Source organism: Homo sapiens, chromosome 11, assembly GCF_000001405.40.
Source record: "Homo sapiens chromosome 11, GRCh38.p14 Primary Assembly".
NCBI classification, from domain to species: Eukaryota; Metazoa; Chordata; class Mammalia; order Primates; family Hominidae; genus Homo; species Homo sapiens.
Window position 1 is genome coordinate 77,532,661 of NC_000011.10, and position 22,419 is coordinate 77,555,079.

Consider the following 22,419-nt stretch of genomic DNA (forward strand, 5'->3'; position numbering starts at 1 on the left):
TTTTTTGTATTTTTAGTAGAGACGGGGTTTCACTGTATTAGCCAGGATGGTCTCAATCTCCTGATCTCGTGATCGGCCCACCTCGGCCTCCCAAAGTGCTGGGATTACAGGCATGAGCCACTGTGCCCAGCCCCTTTTTTTCTTTTTAATTTAATTTTGTTTTTAGGCTAGTCAAGTGAAGCAGTGTGAGTGGAGAAGTATTTTCATTTATTGATTTGAAGAAAATCTTTGAATGTTAAAGAGAAGAATCTTTGGTCTGGATGTGGTGGCTCAAGCCTGTAATCTCAACACTTTGGGAGGCTGAAGTGGAGGATCACTTGAGCCCAGGAGTTAAGATGAGCTTGGGCAACACAGTGAGACTCCATCTCTAAAAAAAATGAAAAAGTTAGCTGGGCATGGTGGCGCATGCCTGTAGTCCAAACTACTTGGGAGGATGAGGCAGGAGAATCACTTGAGCCCCAGAGTTTAGGTAATTCACTGCACTCCAGCCTCAGCAACAGAGTGAAACTCTGTCAAAGAAGAAAAGAAAAACAAAAAGAAAGAATCTTTGGTTAAGGATACTTTCCTCCAGTGTAATTTGTCTTTCAACTTAGTTTATGATAAATTTTGCTACATAAAAGTTTTACATTTTCATATAATCAGATCTATCATCCTTTATACTTTAAGCCTTTAGTTTCATGTTTACAAAGTCATCCCTTACCCCCAAAGTTTTATAAATATTCACCTGTATTTTCTTGTACTTACATTAAAATTTTTAATCCTTCTGGATTTATCTTAGTGTACTATGTGAGTTTGGATTTAACTTTGTTTTAATGATTAGACAGTTCATCTTAACACTCTCTCCACTGACATGAGGCAGCAGATTTATTATATACTAAACTCTTATACACATTTGGATATATTTCTGAACTGTCTCTTTTTTAGCTAAAACAGCAATGTTTTAGTTATTATATCTTGCTAGTTCACATTAATATCTGTTAGGAAAGAACTTTTCACTACTGTTCTTCCTAAAAGTGTGCTTGACATTCTTCATTTATTTTTCTAAATAAGCCTTAAAATAGTTTTTTTTTCACATTCTAAAAATAGTTCCCAGGTATTTTTATTGGGATTTTGTTAAATTTATAGGTTTAGCTTGAGGAAATTTAATACCTTTACAATTTTAAATTTTCTAATACAGAAATGTGGACTGCCTTTCCCTGTATTCAAATTTCTTTCTAGATTTCATGGTAAAGTTTTGTAGATATGTACATTTATCATTAAGTTTATTCCTAGGTGCTTTGATTTTTTTATTGCTGTCATATATGAGTTCTTTCTTCCATTATCTATCTTAACAGAGTATTGCTGATATATATAGGAAAGCTATTAGTTTTTTAATATTTCTGTTATAATTGCCAAACTTTCTAAGTGTCTTAAGTCTAATAGTTTCTCAAGCAACCATATCATCTTGGAAAAATGATAATTTTATCTCTTCCTATCAAATATTTATACCTCCCTCATTTCCTTTTCTCATTGTTACATTGATGAGCACTTCCAGAATAATGTTAAATAATGGTAATTATAGTTGAATTACTAACATCAGTGGAAATGCTTCTAATGTTTTATTGCTAAGTATAATATTGGTTATTGGTCTGAGATCAATATTCTTTAACATATAAAATGTTAACTATGATTTTTCTTAAATCAAAACTGTATGTTGAGAGGAGTGACATTAGCTATAGCTATGTGGCAGAGTACTATGTGTCTGCAACCTCCATCCCTTTCAATAGCGGAAGGAAAACTGGAAAATTCATAAATATGTGAAAATTAGACAACACACTCTTGAACTCTGTCAAAAAAGAAATCAAAAAGGAAATTTAAAAATACCTTGAGACAAAAATGAAAACACAACATGTCAAAACTTATGGGATGCAGCAAAAGCAGTATTAAACAGGAAGTTCATAGTGAAAAATGCCTACATTTAAAAAGAAGAAAGGCCGGGCACAGTGGCTCACACCTATAATCCCAGCACTTTGGAAGGTGGGCAGATCACTTGAACTTAGGAGATCGAGACCAGTCTGGGCAATCTGGCGAAACCCCATCTCTACAACAGATACAAAAATTAGCCAGATGTGCTGACACATGCTTGTAGTCCCAGCTACTTAGGAGTCTGATGTGGGAGGATGGCTTAAACCCCGGGGAGGCTGAGGCTGCAGTGAACCAAGATCAGGTCCCTGCATTACAGCCTGGCCGATAGAGCCAGAACCTGTCTCAAAAATAAAATAAAATAAAGAAAGATTTCAAACAACCTAACTTAACAAGCCAAGGAATTTTTTTTAAAAAGAATGTATTGCCGGGCGCAGTGGCTCACGCCTGTAATCCCAGCACTTTGGGAGGCTGAGGCGGGTGGATCACGAGGTCAGGAGATTGCGACCATCCTGACTAACACGGTGAAAACCTGTCTCTACTAAAAATACAAAAAATTAGCTGGGCGTGGTGGCGGGCGCCTGTAGTCCCAGCTACTCAGGAGGCTGAGGCAGGAGAATGGCGTGAACCCGGGAGGCGGAGCTTGCAGTGAGCCGAGATTGTCCACTGCACTCCAGCCTGTGCGACAGAGCGAGACTCCACCTAAAAAAAAAAAAAAAAAAAAGAATAAACTAAGCCCAAAGTTACCAGAAGGAAGAAAATAACAAAGATTACAGCAGAAATAAATAAAATAAAACAATAGAAACAAATTAATAAAATTGAGTTTTTTTTAAAAGATAAAACAAAATTGACAAAATCTTAGCTAGACTAGGAAAGAAAAGAGAGAAGACTGAAATAAAAACAATCAGAAATGAAAGAAAAACAGATGTCACAGAAATAAAAAGGATCATAAGAGACTATTATGAACTATTATATGCCAACAAAAAGCTGGACAATGTAGAAAAAAAGAATGAATTTCTAGACACATACAACCTACCAAGACTAAATGAAAGTCTAAACAGATTTATAACTAGTATGAAGATTGGGTCAGTAACTAAAAGTCTCCCAACAACAGCAACAAAAATACCTAAGGCCAGATGTCTTCACTTGGGGAATTCTACCAAACATTTAAAGAAGAATTAACATCAATCCTTCTCAAACTCTTCCAAAGAATTGAAGAAGGAACACTTTCAAACTCATTTTATGAATATAGCACTACCCCAATACCAAAGCTAGACAAAGACATCACAAGAAAAGGAAAGTACGGGCCAATATCCCTGATGAATACAGATGCAGATACTCAACAAAATACTAGCTAACCAAATCCAATAGCACACTGAAAATATCATACATCATGACCAAGTGAGATTCATCCCTAGGATGCAGGGATGGTTCAAAATATGCAAATCAATAAATTTAATATACCACATTAACAGAATAAAAGATAAAAATCACATAATCCTCTGAATAGGTGCAGAAAAAGCATTTAACAAAGTTTAACACCCTTTCATCATAAAAGCTCTCAACAAACTAAGGCCAGAATGAAATTACCTCAACATAATAAAGGCTATAAATGAAAAGTCCTCAGCTAATATCACACTAATGGTGAAAACAGAAGAACAAGGCAAGGATGCCTACTCTCACCACTTCTGTTCAACATAGTACTGCAAGTCCTAGGCAAAGCAATTAGGGAAGAAAAAGAAATAAAAGCCATCCAAATAAGAAAGAAAAAGTAAAATTTTCCCTGTCTGCAGATGACACAATCTCATACGTAGAAAACCCTAAAGACACTATCCAAAAAAAAAAACAAAAAACAAACAAAAAAAAAACCTGTTAGAACTAATAAATAAATTCAGTGAAGTTGCAGGGTACAAAATATAAAAATCAATTGCATTTTTGTATGCTCACAATGAAGTATCTGGAAAGGAAATTAGGAAAATAATTTAATTTACAATAGCATCAAAAAGAATGAGATACCAGCCAGGCACGGTCGCTCACGCCTGTAATCCCAGCACTTTGGGAGGCCGAGACGGGTGGATCACCTAAGGTCAGGAGTTCGAGACTAGCCTGGCTAACATGGTGAAACCCTGTCTCTACTAAAAATACAAAAATTAGCTGGGCCTGGTGGCAGGCGCCTGTAATCCCAGCTACTTGGGAGGCTGAGGCAAGAGAATCGCTTGAACCCAGGAGTCAGAGGTTGCAGTGAGCTGAAATTGCACCACTACACTGCAGTCTGGATGACAGAGCAAGACTCCATCTCAAAAAAAAAAAAAAAAAAAAAGAATGAGATACCTAGAACTAAACTTGACTAAAAGGGTGAAAAGTTGTATACTGAAAACTCAAAACATTGATGAAAGAAATTAAATAAGACATAAGTAAATGGAAAGACATCCATTGCTTAAAGATTGGAAAACTTGGTATTGTTAAAATACCTATACTACCCAAAGTGATCTACACATTCAGTGCAATCCCTATCAAAATCCCAATGGCATTTCCTACAGAAATAGAAAAAAAAAAAAATTCTGAAAAATCCATACGGAAATAGCCAGAGCAATCTTGAGCAAAAAGAACAAAGCTAAAAGGCCAGGCGTGGTGGCTCATGCCTGTAATCCCAGCACTTTGGGAGGCCAAGGCGGCCGGATCACCTGAGGTTGGGAGTTCGAGACAAGCCTGACCAACATGGAGAAACCCCGTCTCTACTAAAAATACAAAATTAGCCACGCGTGGTGGTGCATGCCTGTAATCCCAGCTACTTGGGAGGCTGAGGCAGGAGAATTGCTTGAATCTGGGAGGTAGAGGTTGCGGTGAGCCAAGATCGTGCCATTGCACTCCAGTCTGGGCAACAAGAGCAAAACTCCATCTCAAGAAAAAAAAAAAAAAGAACAAAGCTGGAGTTATCACACCTCCTGATTTCAAAATATATTACAAAGCTAATATATTAGAATATATTACAAATCAAAACAGCATGGTACTGGCACAAAGACAGACATATAGACTGACGGAACAGAATAGAGAGCCCAGAAATAAATCCACATATACACAGTCAATTGATCTTTAACATGGATTCCAAGGATACACAATGGGGAAAAGATAGCCTTTTCAACAAATTTTCGAAAAATGGTGTTGGAAAAACTGGATATCCACATGCAAAAGAAAGAAATTGTCAGCCTGGGCAACAAAGTGAGACCTCATCTGTAGTACCAAAAGCAAAGGCAACAAAAACAAAATAAGCAAATGGGACTACATCAAACTAAAAAGCTTCTGTACAGCAATGGAAAAAACTCAACAGAGTGAAAAGGCAACCTGAAGAATGGGAGAAAATATTTGTAAACCATAAACTGATAAAGGATTAATCTCTAAAATATATAAGAAACTTCTGCAACTCAATCGTTAAAAAAAAGAACCAAAACCTAATACCCTAATACACTATTGAAAAACAGGCAAGGACCTGACCTGAACAGACATTTCTTCAAAGCAGACATATAAATGGCCAATAGGCATATGAAAAAATGCTAAACAGCATCGCTAATCATCAGGGAAATGCAAATCAAAACCACAATGAGCTATCACCTCCCACCTGCCAGGATAGCCATTATCAAAAAGACAAAAGATAACAATTATTGGTAAAGATGTGGAGAAAAGGGAACCCTTGCACACCATTGGTGAGAATGCAAAATGGTCAGCTGCTATGGAAAACAGAATGAAATTTCTTCAAAAAATTAAAAATAGAACTGCCATTTGACTGAGCAATTCCACTTCTGGATGTTTAAAAAGAATTGAGATTAGGATCTTAAAGAAATACTAGCATTCCCATGTTTACTGCAGCACCATTCACAACAGCCAAGATGTACAAACAATCTAAATGTCCATCAACAGATGAACAGATAAAGAAAATGATGGTACATACAGACAATAGAATACTATTCAGCCTTTAAAAAGGAGGACATTCTACAATATGTGACAACATGAATGAACAATGAGGACATTATGCTAAGTGAAACAAGCCAGGTACAGAAAGACAAATATGGCACAATTCTGCCTAGTCCAATTCATAGAATCAAAGAGTGAAATGGTGGTTACCAACGACTGGAGGAGAGGGAAATTAAGAATTAATAACCCCGAGGCATAAAATTTCAGTCAAGCAAGATAAGTAAGTGTAGAGATCTGTTGTACAGCATTGAACCTATAGTCCACAATAATGTAAAGTTAAAAATTTGTTGGCCAGGCACAGTGGCTCATGCCTGTAATTCCAGCACTTTGGGAGGCCAAGACAAGTGGATCACCTGAGGTCAGGAGTTTGAGACCAACCTGGCCAACATGGTGAAACCCTGTCTCTACTAATAATACAAAACATTAGCCAGGGGTGGTGGTGGGCACCTGTAATCCCAGCTACTTGGGAAGCTGAGACAGGAGAATCACTTGAACCTGGGAGACGGAGGCTGCAGTGAGCCAAGATTGTGCCACTTCACTCCAGCCTGGGCAACACAGCAAGACTCCATCTCAAAAAAAAAAAAATAGTGACTTATTGAATGTGAGATGTGAAGGAAAGACAGGAGTTCAAGAGAACTGCCCAGTTCTTGTTTTTGTGATATTTACCAAGACAGGGTCACAGGAAGAAAAGCAGGTTTGGTGGGGGTTGGTGGGGGCAGTATAGAGGATGAATCAATTTTAGCATTGTTATATTTGACATCCTGAGGTGAACATCCAGGTAGAGACATGTAAACAGTTATACACATAGACCTGGAGCAGAGAGATTTGGGCCTCAGATACTGATTTGGCAATGATCAGCGCATAGAAGACAGCTAAATGTGGAGAGTGAGGATACAAGAAAGAAGGCTGAAAATGGAACCACAGAGAATAGCCAGTTTTAAGAGATGGAAGAAGGAAGCCGTCCTTAAGAAGACACTGCCAGAGAGGTAGGAATAGAACCTATTCTGTGAATCAGGAAAACAAAAGGAGGACAGAGTTTTGGGTAGAACATGGCCAGCTGTGTCAGATGGAGCAAAGCTGTCCAGTAAGACAAGGACTAGAAAGGGTCCTCTGGATTTGCCAAGACCTCTTTGATGACCTCAGCAAAAGCAATTTCAGTAGAAAGGTGAGGGTGAATTCTGCCTGTGTTGTGTATCGGGCATAACCTCGTGCTCCCTGTCACATTCCTTCAACTACTTCCTTCTCTCCAAAGGCACCACTCGCCTCCCACTACTCTGGACCTCTGCTGACTTCCCTGAGTTGCCTGAAGTCAGAACTGAAGTCCTAGACCTGCATGGCCTACACATGCTCCCTTCTGCATAAAATTACTCCTCCACTTTCAGATAGAATGAAACATTTGCCATACCTACCACAAGGCATGAAATCTTGCTTCCTGAGCTGGTGCCAATGGACCAGATGATGCACCATGGAAGTTACACAGCAGAAGTGGAAGGGAATTATCTTCTTGTGGGGCAAACCTTGACAAATGGGAAATAGGAGACAGAAGTGAGGCAAACAGATACGTTTTTCTCATTGTTCCCTTCCATTTTAAGGTGTGATTGCTCCTTGCAGCCATGCCAGAGAACTCCCACGGCTGAAGGACACTACCTGCTAAGTCACCTGCCGTTTCTCATCATGGCTTGCTGGAAGCAGGGACCAACATTGTAACACATCATCCTGCCTCCACTGACTTGTCTTCATTTTTCCCTTTCTAAGCTCCCAGAAAGAGAATCAGCACCTGAATCCTGACCCCAGGCTCTGCAATCTAGAGAACCTGGGCTAAGACACAGTTAGCGAGATAAGCTATAAGTTGAATAGGATGTAAGATACAGAGAAAGACAATGTAGACAATATTTTCAAGAAATTCCCTTCCCTGTGAAGGAAAGGAAAAAAAGTGGATTTCGGGGAGGGAAAGGAAACAGGTCCCAAAATTGTTTAGAAGGTGCCTCTAAAGCTGATACAGGCTTTGGTTAAAATGTTGCTATAAGAAAGAACATTTAAATTCACTCTCCATTTAGACTACTTGAGCCAATAGGCTCTCAAGAGCAAGTGTTCTATTTTTCTGACGTTTCAATACGATGTAATGAGAAAGGGAATAAAAAGGAGGGTACCATAACAGAGTGAATAGGAATTAGATTTGAGAAAGGCAGAGTTGGACAAGGTAGAGAATTGTCAAATTAGAAGATGAAAGGAATATTAAACATCCATGTTAGAGCAACTATTGATCCGGCTCAGACTCACATATTTGCTGTATTCCCTAGGTCAGGTTATCCAAAGAACATAGCAATATCATTTTATTTATAGATGACTATCAAAAGTACTAGTAACATCCAGCAAAAACTATCATCCAAAGATGTCTATTTACTTTGCTACAACAGAACCAGCCTTTAACCCAATTCAACTTAACAAATATTTATTTGCCCCTGTCATGTGGGGGCTCTGTGAAAGTAGGGTGGTTGGGGACATAGGGACCCTTCTCAGATGAATAAGATCCACTGGTAACCTAAAGATGACTATAATCTCAGAGTTAGAAATAAAATAGAGCACACTGATTATTATCATTGAAGGTCCGTGATGGTTAATTTTATGTGTCAGCTTGATTGGGTTAAGAGATACCCAGATCACTGGTAAAACATGATTACTGGGTGTGTCTGTGAGGGTGTTTCCAGCAGAGATCAGCATTCCAATCAGTAGACTGAGTAAAGAAGATCCCCTCACCAATGTGAGCAAGCGTCATCACATCTGGTGAGGTCCTGGATAGAACAAAAAATCAGAGGAAGGGTGCATATGCTGTCTCTTTCTGGGACACCAACCCTCTCTCTTGCTCTAGGATATCAGAGCTCCAGATTCTCTGCCTTTGGACTCTGGGACTTACACCAGTGGCCTCCCAATTTCTCAGCCTTTGGCCTCTGGGACTTACACCAGTGGCCTCCCAGTTTCTCAGCCTTTGGCCTCGGACTTAGAGTAACACCATCAGCTTCCCTGGTTCTCAGGCCTTCAAACTCAGACTGAATTAACCACCTGCTCTCCTGGTTCTTCAGCTCGAAGACAGCATATCATGGGCCTTCTCAGCCTCTATAATTGCGTGAGTCAATTCCCATAATAAATCCCCTCTTATGTAGCTAAATATATTCTGTTGGTTCTGTTTCTCCAGTGAACCCTAATACAAGATTGGATAAAACAAAAGCCATAAAGAAGATACAAACAAAATTCTAAGGAGGTCCTAAGCAGGGAGAGATTATGCTAGTGAAAAATAATTAAGAAAAACTTAATTGAGAGAGGTGACATGCTTCTTAAACATAATTTTAATAGTTGGATATGGGGGGAGGCTGGGCAGATATAAGAGTAAATCCAAAGACATGGAAGCAGGAAATAACAGAGTAGAATTGAAGAATGATAGACTTTGACAGTTTTGAAGGATATATCCAAAGTACTTTTAGAACCCTAAATGTTCCTATGTACCACTATATCAAGAAATTTTTCTCATAAAGTGCACACATGATGCTGAGTATATAGCTACCAAGCTACACGTGCTGTAAAGGATGGACCATTAGCTGGGCTAACTTAGCAACTAACTATGTGACTTGCTTTTTTTAAGTAACACTAGAAATTGATTTCTCCCAGTTCTGGAAGCTGGGAAGTCTGAGATCAGGGTGTTGCAGGGTCAGGTTCTGGTGAGGGACTTCTGGGTTGCAGGCCGCTGACCTCTCATTGCATCCTCACATGTTAAAGAGCAGAGCCCACCAGCCTGCCTTTTCATGTCCATGTCCTAGTGTGCAGGATTCAGATTTAGGTCTCAGAAAAATGAACATGACCACCGTTTACTCAGGAATGGTAAAAGCCTTGAATGTTAAATCCATAAATATCTACTGCCCACAGCAGTTCCATTTGGCTGCAGTGCTCAGCATGAATCATCCCAGAGATGAATCCTGCTTATTTTAAGATGAATGAGAACATTCTATCATTTGTTGGAAATTTCTTAATATTTCTTCTACTTTGATGAATCACTTCTGCATGAACATACCCCATGTTTTGTCTTCTCTCCTATCCCACCTCTTAGCTAAAACAAAGGGAAAATGGATTTGCAGATCAAGAACTGGAGAGGCCCAGCCCTTCAGGAGGCCTCGTAGGCCTCTGCTGACCGTCAGAAGAGTGGCCCATAGTAGCTCCCCGACCATAGGTCAAGAAATACTGTCTTTCTTTTTTTTTTTTTTTTTTTTTTTTTGAGATGCAGTCTCGCTCTTGTTGTCTAGGCGCAATCTCGGCTAATTGCAACCTCTACCTCCCAGGTTCAAGCGATTCTCGTGCCTCCGCCTCCTGAGTAGCTGGGATTACAGGTGCCCGCCACAACACCTGGCTAATTTTTGTATTTTTAGTAGAGATGGGATTTCACCATTTTGGCCAGGCTGGTCTCAAGCTCCTGCCCTCAGGTGATCCGCCCATCTTGGCCTCCCAAAGTGCTGGGATTACAAACGTGAGCCACCGTGCCCGGCCTGAAATACTCTTTTAAGTACAAGCCTTAGAGATAAGCATGACCTTACAGTACTGACTGGGGGAAAAAACCTCTAACCTTGGTCACATCCCAGTTTCTCTCTCCTGCTGCCTCTGGCAGCCTTTAAGCTGTAGAAGAGGAGATTGCAGAAAGAAACACATTTAAGCCGGGCACGGTCTCTATTTTTGTACTAAAAATACAAAAAATTACCCGGGCGTGGTGGTGCATGCCTGTAATCCCAGCTACTCGGGAGGCTGTGGCAGGAGAATCACTTGAACCTGGGAGGCGGAGGTTGCAGTGAGCTGAGGTCGCACCATTGAACTCCAGTCTTGGCAACAACAGCGAAACTCCATCTCAAAAAAAAAGAAGAAACACATTTAAGATTGCACAAAAAAGCAATGACAAAAACAACAGCAAAAAAACACAAAACCGTGGTCTCCACTGCTTGACTCACTGCCAGAAATAGTAGGCACTGGCCAGGCACAGTGGCTCACGCCTGTAATCCCCACACTTTGGGAGGCCAAGGCAGGCAGATCACTGGAGGTCAGGAGTTCAAGACCAGCCTGGCCAACATGGTGAAACCCCGTCTCTACTAAAAATACAAAAATTAGCTGGGCATGATGACATGCACCTGTAATCCCAGCTACTCAGAAGGCTGTGGCAGGAAAATCATTTGAACCCGGGAGGCGGAGGTTGTACTGCACTCTAGCCTGGGCGATAGAGTGAGACTCCATCTCAAAAAAAAAAAAAAAAAAAAAAAAAGTAGGCACTGAAAGAACAAAACCAGGAAGAACCTTTGTCCACCAAGCAAAGCCCTGATGAATAACTGACTAACTGAAGCCTAACTAGGTTTTCAGAAGCTGCAACTGAGGGCTTCAGCAGGCAGGAGCCATGATCAGAGCACTGAGGATTTGAGAAGAAATAAGAACCGATTCGACTCATGGCCACTATCTTGAGATACTAATACTGCAAATCCAATTCTGACAAAAACCTCCAAAACCAAAAAGACACTGTCCTACTTATTAGAAAAATAGTTTTCTATCCTCTTGGTGTTGTAACACATTGAATGGATACTGCAAAAAGAATTAAAGCTGTGCTTCAGCAGATTGCTTAAATCATGAATTAAAAAGGGAGAAAACATTTTTTTTTCAGTAATCCTTGAACTTCATCTCTAAAGGCCTTAAAATATGTAAATTGATAGACTATTGGTCAGCCGTTAAATGTGATCCTTAGGAAGGCTACATAGAGGCGGGCAGATAGCTTGGGCCCAGGAGTTTGAGACCAGCCTCGGCAACATGGACAAACCTTGTATCTACTAAAAATAGAAAAATTAGGCTGGGCGCGATGGCTCATGCCTGTGATCCCAGCACTTCGGGAGGCCAAGGTGGGCGGATCACCTGAGATCAGGCGAGACCAGCCTGACCAACATGGAGAAACTCCATCTCTACTAAAAATACAAAATTAGGTGTGGCAGCTACTCAGGAGGCTGAAGCAGGAGAATCACTTGAACCCGGGAGGCGGAGGTTGTGGTGAGCTGAGACTGAGCCATTGCACACCAGCCTGGGCAACAAGAGTGAAACTCCATCTCAAAAAAAAAAGAAAAGAAAGAAAGAAGATAGAAAAATTAGCTGGGCGTGGTTCTGTTGTCCCAGCTACTTGGGAGGCTAAGGTGGGAGGATCACCTGAGCCCAGGACACGGAGGTTGCAGTGAGCTGAGGCCACACCACGTTACTCTACTCCAGACTGGGCCACAAACCAAGACCCTGTCTGAAAAAAAAAAAGGCTACATAGGGCTGGGCATGGTGGTTCAAGCCTGTAATCCTAGCACTTTGGGAGGCAGGAGGATCACTTGAGCTCAGGAGTTCAAGAACAGCCTGAGCAACGTAGTGAGATCTTGCCTCTACAAAAAATTTTAAAATTAGCCAGATGTGATGGCACACACCTGTGGTCCCAGCTACTCGGGAGGCTGAGACGGGAGGATTGCTTGAGCCCAGGAGGTCGAGGCTGCAGCGAGTTATGATCACACCACTGTATTCCAGCCTGAGGGACAGTAAGACCCTCTCTAAAAAAAAAAAAAAAAAAGAAAAAAAAAGAGGGCTACATAGAAACATGAGTAAATGATCCTTAAATAATGTTGAGTGAAAATAATCAAAATAATAGCCTACGTTTATTTACGATAGAATTTACAAAGAAAAATATGTACTATGAGTATGAATTACAATGAAAATAGTTGTATTAGAATACGAGACTTGGGGTAATCTTTTTTATTTTCTTGAAAATTTTCTTTGATATTCTTAACATAGCAACTGATCAATTAAAATAAATATAATCAAGTAAAGACAAACTATGGCCAGGCGTGGTGGCTCATGCCTGTAATCCCAGCACTTTGGGAGGCTGAGGCAGGAGGATCACTTGAGGTCAGGAGTTCGAGACCAGCCTGGCCAACATGGCAAAACCCTGTTTCTACTAAAAAAAAAAAAAAAAAAATTAGCTGGGCATGGTGGCATGTGCCTGTAGTCCTAGCTACTCGGGAGGCTAAGTATGAGAATCGCTTGAAGCGGGAGGTGGAGGTTGCAGTGAGCCAAGATTGACCCACTGCATTCCAGTCTGGGTGACAGAGCAAGACTCTGTCTCAAACAAAAACAAAAACAAAAACAAACAAACAAACAAAAAATAAAAACAAACTAATGAATACCCAAATTACACATGATTACATATGAAATATTGATTTTCATGTGCTCTGTCCCGTGTCCAAGTTTATAACAGAAAGTATTGATGGGAAATTTGACTTTTATGAGAAACCACAAGTAAATCACTCTAAAAATATAAGTTTTTTAAAAAGCTGAAAATGAGGGATTTGGGTGTGAAAGTGTAAAAAGAAAACCTAACTTAAAGCAATATGTCACCAGGCACAGTGGCTCATGCCTGTAATCCCAGCACTTTGGGAGGCCGAGGTGGGGGGATCACCTGAGGTCAGTAGTTTGAGACCAGCCTGGCCAACATGGTGAAACCCCATCTCTACTAAAAATACAAAATTAGCCAGGCATGGTGGCGGCCACCTGTAATTCCAGCTACTCAGGAGGCTGAGGCTGGAGAATCACTTGAACCTGGGAGGTGGAGGTTGAGCAAGCCGAGATTGCACCCCTGCACTCCTCCAGCCTGAGCGACAGAGCAAGACTCCATCTCAAAAAAAAAAAAAAAAAAAAAAAAAGCAATATTTATATCAGACACAGGACAGGAGGGGACCATGTTGTCCCTTCTGCTGTTCTAGGGAGCCCCATGCAAGGCTCACAGTGTGGTGGTTTTGCAGTTGGGGACCTCTGTATCCAGACTCCAGCTCCATCACTTCCTGGCTGTTGGTCCTTGGTCCAGTTATTAAGCTCTCTAATCCTCAGCTTCCTCCTTTGTAAAGTGGAGATGGAGATAACCTATCTCATTAGATAGTCTTAAACAGTATAAGGCATGTAAAGCAAGCACCTAGCACCTTGCCTAATAGGCAACTCTTCAGTAAATGCTAGTTCCCTTGTCTCTCCAATCTCTTCTCAAAAATGTACCATGTAGAGTGCAGTGGCTCATGCCTGTAATCCCAGCATTTTGGGAGGCTGAGGTGGGCGGATCACGAGGTCAGGAGTTCGAGACCAACCTGACCAACATGGTGAAACCCTGTCTCTACTAAAAATACAAAAATTAGCCGGGCGTGATGGCGCACACCTGTAATCCCAGCTACTCAGGAGGCTGAGGCAGGAGAATCGCTTGAACCCGGGAGGCGGAGGCTACAGTGAGCTGAGATCGTGCCACTGCACTCCAGCCTGGGCAACAGAGCGAGACTCTGTCTCAAAAAAAAAAAAAAAAAAGTACCATGTAAAATTGGACCTACCTGTGACTGAGTTAGTCATCAGGTTATTAGGGATTTATCACTTATTGACTGCCCACTAGCAGACTCAGTGCCTGTAACATAGTAGGCTCCAAGTAAAGATATGTTTGATGGATGGACAAATGGATGGATGGATGGATGGATGACTCAATCTCTGTCTTTAGATCCCTAGAAGAAGAGACACTTGTTTGTTCTATATATACATTTTTTCATTTCTTTTAATTTTTTAATTTTTTATTTTTGTGGGTACATAGTCAGTGTATATATTTGTTTCCTTCCCTCCCTTCCTTCCGTTCCTTTGTTCCTTCCTTCCTTCCTCTCTTTCTCTCTCCCTTCCTTCCCTTCCCTTCCTCCTTCCCTCCCTCCTTCCCTTCCCTTCCCCTTCCTTCCTTCCTTCCTTCCTCTCTCTCTCTTTCTTTCTTTCTTTCTCTTTCTTTCTCTCTCTCTCTTTCTTTCTCTCACTTTGTTGCCCAGGCTGCAATCGCGGTTCACTCCAACCTCTGCCTCCCAGGTTCAAGCCATCCTCCCACCTCAGCCTCCTGAGTAACTGGGCACGCACCACTGCACCCGGCCAGTTCTTGTATTTTTTGTAGAGATGGGGTTTTGCCACATTGTCCAGGCTGGTCTCAAACTCCTGGGCTCAAGGGATCCACCTGCTTTGGCCTCTTAAAGTGCTAGGCGTGAGTCACCACACCTGGCCTTGTCCTATATATTTCTAAAGAATACATTTGAGACCAGGAAGTGCAGTATTAATCTCTCTTTGTTATTTTATTTTTATTTTTTTGAGATGAGGTCTTGCTCTGTTGCTCAGGCTGAAGTGCAGTGGCACAATCATGGCTCACTGCAACCTCTGCCTCCTGGGCTCAAGCCATCGTCCCACCTCAGCCACCTGAGTAGCTGGGACTACAGGCATGTGCCACCATGTCCAACTAATTTTTAAATTTTTTTTATTGGCAGGGTCTCACCATTTTGCCCAGGCTGGTCTTGAATCCCTGGGCTCAAATGATCAGCCCACCTCAACCTCCCAAAGTGCTGGAATTACAGGCATGAACCGCCTGCCCTGGCCTCTTTGTTATTTTGATCAGAGAAAGTGGGTTTGGCTAAACGAAGTCCAGGCTCTTGGGGAGAAGCCCTTGGGAAGAATAGAAGTGAAAAGGAGGCTTCTCTGAGCCAGTCAAACGCTCTCCAGATCTTCAGACTCTGCTGTTCTCACATCCCTAGGCCCAGATACACTTAGTTTCTTTCTGGAGTAGGTAGAAGCTACAAGGAAGCAGTTTTCACATAAAATCAAGAACGATATTCTAATAAACTGACCACACATGGAAAAAGTGCTTCGAAAAAAGGGAGTTTCTCATCACCAGCCCCTGAGATGGAAGAAATATTGCCATAGTTGTTGTTATGTCAGGGAGGGAATTCTAGCTTTGAATTGGTAGTTAGATGAGAAAAACTCCTTTCAGCCTGAGATTTTGTGACTTCATTTATGAGACACTCACGCTCTCACAACTAGGCTTTCGACTGCCACCTAGAGGCTTACTTATGGAAAAGAGAATAAATATTACTACAAATCTGAACCCGAAGAGAACGCTGTTCTTCTTCATTTTGAATTTTCAACTCCGCTTGGGCCTACAGGCATCCCTTCCCTAGGTATTTCTAAGGGCAGAATCTCATAACAGACTAAATGTTATGCTCTTGCAATATCAACACAACTCAACACAGCTACAGGGCAAGGACAGAAACACAGAGGAAGCGTCTTCTCTTTCTCAGCCTCAGAGATAAGGAAGCAAGTAATATACACGACAAAATAAATTACAATGTGAGTTAGACTTTGCCAAACAGCTAATGCAGGTGATTATTGCCATGAAAGTTGAGTCAATGAAGGGATCCCTGTGGTCTGGGGTGGAAGGGCTTTTGGGGAGGGAGTAGAATTAGAGCTAGCTCTTGATGAAGAAATAACCTGGGGAAGGTAAGATGGAGCAGGAACAGATGGAGGTGAGTGTAGCTAAACAGCGTAGGCTTTGGAGTCCAAAAGACTGCATCAAATTCTGAACTGTCTTCACTAGCTGTGACTTTAGCTACTCTCTTAAAGTCTCTGAGCAGCAGCTTCCTCCTCTTATAATGGGGATATGCTCACCTTTCTTGAAAGCATGTTGTTTGGATTAGAGATAATATATGTAAAGTAGCACAATAATAAACACTCACATTGTTGTTGGCATTGCTGTGGATTAGACACCGGGGTGGACCTGGTATGGGCTGAGCCTTTGTGGAAGCACATGAAGTGAGGCCAAGGCAGTGTCGAGTGCTGAGAGAACCCATGACTAGGAGTCAGCAGACCTCAGTTTGAGTTCTTGATTTCATGTCACCAGGCAAATCACTTTCATTTTCTCCAGGCTTGTCTTTCGCATCTGTACAGTGAGGGTATTGGTCTGGAGAAATAATTCTCTACCCTGGCTACTTAGTACATGAGGAGACTGAAAATCACCTGGTGACCATTGAACAGGCCCCAGAGAAAAAGCTCCTTACCTGAGAATTTAGAATTTAGAAGGGAGCAAATAGCACCTGGTGACCATCAAACAGGCCATCCAGAGGCAAAACTCCTTATCTGGGGAAAATTAGATGTAATTAGACTTCCCTACTTTCCAAAGCAGGTATCTGGTTCCTCTGGTTTTTGGTAAAAGATGTGCTCTGGATTACCTCCTAGCTGAAGAGGGAGGAGTCTTTGCTGTCATCAACAAAACCTGTTGCACCTACATTAATGTGTCCGGAGAAGTGGAAACTGATGTCCAAGAAATTTTCAAACAAGCTAAATGACTACACACACTTTCCCAAAGTAACCAAGACTGGACCAAAACTTTTACTAATTGGTTTCCAAAAATCACTTGGCTTCTCCCATTCCTTGGACCTTTGTTCCTTGTCATTCTTCTTTTAATATCTGATCCCTGCTTTTTTTTTTTAACATGCTCATTAAATTTATATCTTCCAGATTGCAAAGATTCCACCTACAGATGGCTATGCAATCCCAATACCAGCCTGTAACAGCAACTTCCATTTGCATGGGGCCTTTTGATGGAACCCGGTTTTCCCTGTCCTGAACGAGTTTTTCGTGACCCTTCATTCCCTTCATGACAGAGCAAGAAAGGAAAAAATGCAACCTATCCCTTCAATGCCCCCTTTCAGCAGGAAGTAACCAGACTCCACACTCCTCTTCACTGTGGTGTTTTCCCTTTCTTGAGACCCCAATTGTCAGGCCTGAGCCCAAGCTAAGTGATCATATCCCCTGCGACCTGCACATATATATCCAGATGGCCTGAAGCAACTGAAGAACCACAAAAGAAGTGAAAATAGCCAGTTCCTGCCTTAACTGATGGCATTCCACCACTGTGATTTGTTCCTGCCCCACCCTAACTGACCAATTGACCTTGTGACATTCCTTCTCCGGGGCAATGAATCTCAGGAGCTCCCCACCAAGCATCTTGTGACCCCCACTCCTGCCCACAAGAGAACAACCCCCTTTAACTGTAATTTTCCACTACCTACCCAAATCCTATAAAACTGTCCCACCCCATCTCTCTCCCTTTGCTGACTCCTTTTTCAGATTCGCCCACCTACGCCCAGGTGATTAAAAAGCTTTATTGCTCACACAAAGACTGTTTGGTGGTCTCTTCACACGGACGCATGTAACATTTGGTGCTGAAGACCTGGGACAGGGGGATTCCTTCAGGAGACTGGTCCCCTGTCCTCGCCCTCACTCCTTGAGGAGATCCACCTACGACCTTGGGTCCTGAAATCAGCCCAAGGAACATCTCACCAATTTCAAATCAGGTAAGTGGTCTCTTCACTCTCTTCTCCAGCCTCTCTCACTACCCTTCAGTCTCCCTGTGCTTCCAATTCCAGCTCTTTTTCCTCTCTAGCAGAGACAAAGGAGACACATTTTATCCGTGAACTCAAAAACTCCAACGTCGGTCACAAATTTAGGAAGACAGTCTTCCCTTGGTGTCTGATCACTGCAGGGATGCCTGCCTTGATCATTCACCCACATTCCATTGGTGTCTGATCACTGCGGGGATGCCTGCCTTGGTCATTTACCCACATTTCCTTGGTGGTAAGTCAACTGTGGGGATGCCTGCTTTGGCTGCTCACCCATATTACAGCCCAGGGCTGCTCACCCCTGCCCTCCACCCTGTGTCTCTACCTTTCTCTTTAGACTTACCTCCTTCACTATGGGCAACTTTCTGCCCTCCATTCCCCCTTCTTCTCCCTTAGCCTGTGTTCTTAAAAACCTAAAACCCCTTCAACTAACACCTGACCTAAAACCTAAACATCTTATTTTCTTCTGTAATACCACTTGGCCCCAATACAAACTCGAAAATAGTTCCAAGTGGCCAGAGAATGGCACTTTCGATTTGTCTATCCTACAAGACCTAGATAATTTTTGTCGAAAATTGGGCAAATGGTCTGAGGTGCCTGACGTCTAAGCATTCTTTACACATTGGTCCCTCCCTAGTCTCTGCTCCCAATATGACTCGTCCCAAATCTTTCTTCTTTCTCTCCTGTCTGTTCCTTCAGGCTCCACCCCAAGCTCTGAGCCCTTTGAATCCTCCTTTTCTACAGACCCATCTGACCTTTCCCCATTCCCCAGGCTGCTCCTCGCCAGGCCAAGCCAGATCTCAATTCTTCCTCAGCCTCTGCTCCTCCACCCTATAATCCTTCTATCACCTCCCCTCCTCACACCCGGTCCGGCTTACAGTTTCGTTCCGTGGCTAGCCCTCCCCTACCTGCCCAACAATTTCCTCTTACAGAGGTGGCTGGAGCTGAAGGCATAGTCAAGGTTAATGCTCCTTTTTCTTTATCCGACCTCTCCCAAATCAGTTAGCGTTTAGGCTCTTTTTCATCAAATATAAAAACCCAGCCCAGTCCATGGCCTGTTTGGCAACAACCCTTAGACACTTTACCACCCTAGATCCAGAGGGGCCAGAAGGCCGTCTTATTCTTAATATGCATTTTATTATCCAATCCACTCCTGACATTAGAAAAAGCTCCAAAAATTAGATTCCGGCCCTCAAACCCCACAACAGGACTTAATTAACCTTGCCTTCAAGGTGTACAATAATAGAGAAGAGGCAGCCGAGCGGCAGTGTATTTCTCAATTGCAATTACTTGCCTCCACTGTGAGAGAAACCCCAGCCACATCTCCAGCACATAAGAACTTCAAAACGCCTAAACCATAGCAGTCAGGCATTCCTCCTGGACTTTTTCCCCCAGGATCTTGCTCCAAGTGCTGGAAATCTGGCCAGTGGGCCAAGGAATGCCCACAGCCTGGGATTCCTCCTAAGCCATGTCCCATCTGTGCAGGACCCCACTGGAAATCAGACTGTCCAACTTGCCCAGCAGCCATTCCTAGAGCCCCTGGAACTCTGGCCCAAGGCTCTCTGACTGACTCCTTCCCAGATCTTCTCGGCTTATCAGCTGAGGACTGACGCTGCCCAATCGCCTCGCAAGCCTCCTGGACCATCACAGACACTTCAGGTAACTGCTACAGTGGAGGGTAAGTCCATCCCTTTCTTAATTGATAAGGAGGCTACCCACTCCACATTACCTTCTTTTCAAGGGCCTGTTTCCCTTGCCTCCATAACTGTTGTGGGTATTGACGGCCAGGCTTCTAAACCTCTTAAAACTCCCCCACTCTGGTGCCAACTTGGACAACATTCTTTTATGCACTCTTTTTTAGTTATCCCCACCTGCCCAGTTCCCTTATTAGGCCGAGTCATTTTAACCAAATTATCTACTTCCCTGACTATTCCTGGGCTACAGCCACATCTCATTGCTGCACTTTTACCCAACTCAAGGCCTCTTTTACATCCTCCCCTTGTATCTCCCTACCTTAATCCATAATTATGGGATACCTCTACTCCCTCCTTGGTGACCAATCATGCATACCTTATCATCCTGTTAAAACCTAATCACCCTTACCCCACTCAATGCCAATATCCCATCCCATGGCATGCTTTAAAAGGGTTACAACTCCCCTATCCTACCTGTCCAAAAACTGGACAAGTCTTGCAGGTTGGTTCAGGATCTTTACCTTATTAATCAAATCATCCTTCCCATCTATCCTATAGTGCCAAACCCATATACTCTCCTATCCTCAATACCTCCCTCCACAACCCATTATTCTGTTCTGGATCTCCAAGATGCTTTCTTTACCATTCCTTTACACCCTTCATCCCAGCCTCTCTTCGCTTTCACTTGGACTAACCCTGACACCCATCAGTCTCAGCAACTTACCTGGGCTGTACTGCTGCAAGGCTTCAGGGACAGCCCTCATTACTTCAGCCAAGCTCTTTCTCATGATTTAATTTATTTCCACCCATGTGCTTCTCACCTTATTCAATATATTGATGACCTTCTACTTTGTAGCCCCTCCTTTGAATCTTCTCAACAAGACACACTCCAGCTCCTTCAACATTTATTCTCCAAGAGATATTGGGTATCCCCCTCCAAAGCTCAAATTTCTTCTCCACCCGTTACCTACTTCAGCATAATTCTTCATGAAAACACATGTGCTCTCCCTGCCGATCATGTCCGGCTAATCTCTCAAACCCCAACCCCTTCTACAAAGCAACAACTCCTTTCCTTCCTGGGCGTGGTTGGATACTTTCGCCTTTGGATACCTGGTTTTGCCATCCTAACAAAACCATTATATAAACTCACAAAGGGAAACCTAGCTGACCCCATAGATCCTAAATCCTTTCCCCACTCCTCTTTCCATTCCTTGAAAACAGCTCTAGAGACTGCTCCCACACTAGCTCTCCCTGACTCATCCCAACTTTTTTCATTACACACAGCTGAAGTGCAGGGCTGTGCAGTCAGAATTCTTACACAAGGACCAGGACTGAGCCCTGTAGCCTTTTTGTCCAAACAACTTGACCTTACTGTTTTAGGCTGGCCCTCATGTTTGCATGCGGCGGCTGCTGCTGCTCTAATACTTTTAGAGACCCTCAAAATCACAAGCTATGTTCCACTTACTCTCTACAGTTCCCATAACTTTCAAAATCTATTTTCCTCCTAATGTTGGATGCCTATACCGCCCCCCCGGCTCCTTCAGCTGTACTCACTATTTGTTGAATCTCCCACAATTACCATTGTTCCTGGGCCAGACTTCAATCCAGCCTCTCATCTTATTCCTGATACTACATCTGAGTCCCATGACTGTATCTCTCTAATCCACATGGCATTCTCCCCATTTCCCCATATTTCCCTCTTTCCTGTTCCCCACCTAGGCCACACTTGGTTTATTGATGGTAGTTCCTCCAGGCCCAGTCACCAATCACCAGTAAAGGCAGGCTATGCTATAGTGTCTTCCACATCTATCATTGAGTCTATGGCCCTGCCCGCTTCCACTACCTCTCAACAAGCTGAACTCATTGCCTTAACTTGAGCTGTCATTCTTGCAAAGGGACTACGTGTCAATATCTATACAGATTCCAAGTATGCCTTCCACATCCTTCACCACCATGCTGTTATATGGGCAGAAAGAGGTTTCCTCACTACACAAGGGTCCTCCATTATTAATGCCTCCTTAATAAATAAACTCTTCTTAAAGCTGCTCTACTTCCAAGGAAGCTGGGGTCATTCACTGCAAGGGGCATCAAAGGGCATCAGATCCCATCACTAAGGACAATGCTTATGCTGATAAGGTACCTAAAGAAGCAGCTAGCAAACAGCTTCCTGTTCCCCTCATGACACCAACACTTCACTACTATTTTGTTTTGTTTTTCTTATTATTAATATAAGAAGACAGGAATAGGCCTCGACTTACTGCTAAAAAAGGAGGACTCTGTATATTTTTAAATGAAGAGTGTTGTTTTTACCTAAATCAGTCTGGCCTGGTATATGACAACATAAAAAACTCAAGGATAGAGCCCAAAAACTCGCCAACCAAGAAAATAATTACGCTAAATCCCCTTGGGTACTCTCTAATTGGATGTCCTGGGTCCTCCCAGTTCTTAGTCCTTTAATACCTGTTTTTCTCCTTCTCTTATTTGGACTTGTGTCTTCTGTTTAGTTTCTCAATTCGTACAAAACTGCATCCAGGCCATCACCAATCATTCTATATGACAAATGCTCCAACAACCCCACAATATCA

At 42.5% G+C, this 22,419-nt stretch overlaps 1 long non-coding RNA gene across 1 annotated transcript, besides 1 other annotated feature; it reads right to left on the reverse strand.

The window, feature by feature from the left end:
- LOC124902722 (uncharacterized) lies at positions 1,578-10,647 on the reverse strand. Its single transcript, XR_007062794.1, has 3 exons — positions 10,613-10,647; positions 7,281-7,388; positions 1,578-2,604 (listed from the first exon to the last, which is right to left on the reverse strand). It is a non-coding gene; the product is annotated as an uncharacterized LOC124902722 (long non-coding RNA).
- Positions 16,483-16,552: an enhancer, noted in NCBI's record as "active region_5307". NCBI's record gives its function as "activates an Ori minimal core promoter by ATAC-STARR-seq in GM12878 lymphoblastoid cells {active_cell/tissue: GM12878}" and the evidence as "EXISTENCE:reporter gene assay evidence [ECO:0000049][PMID:35858748]".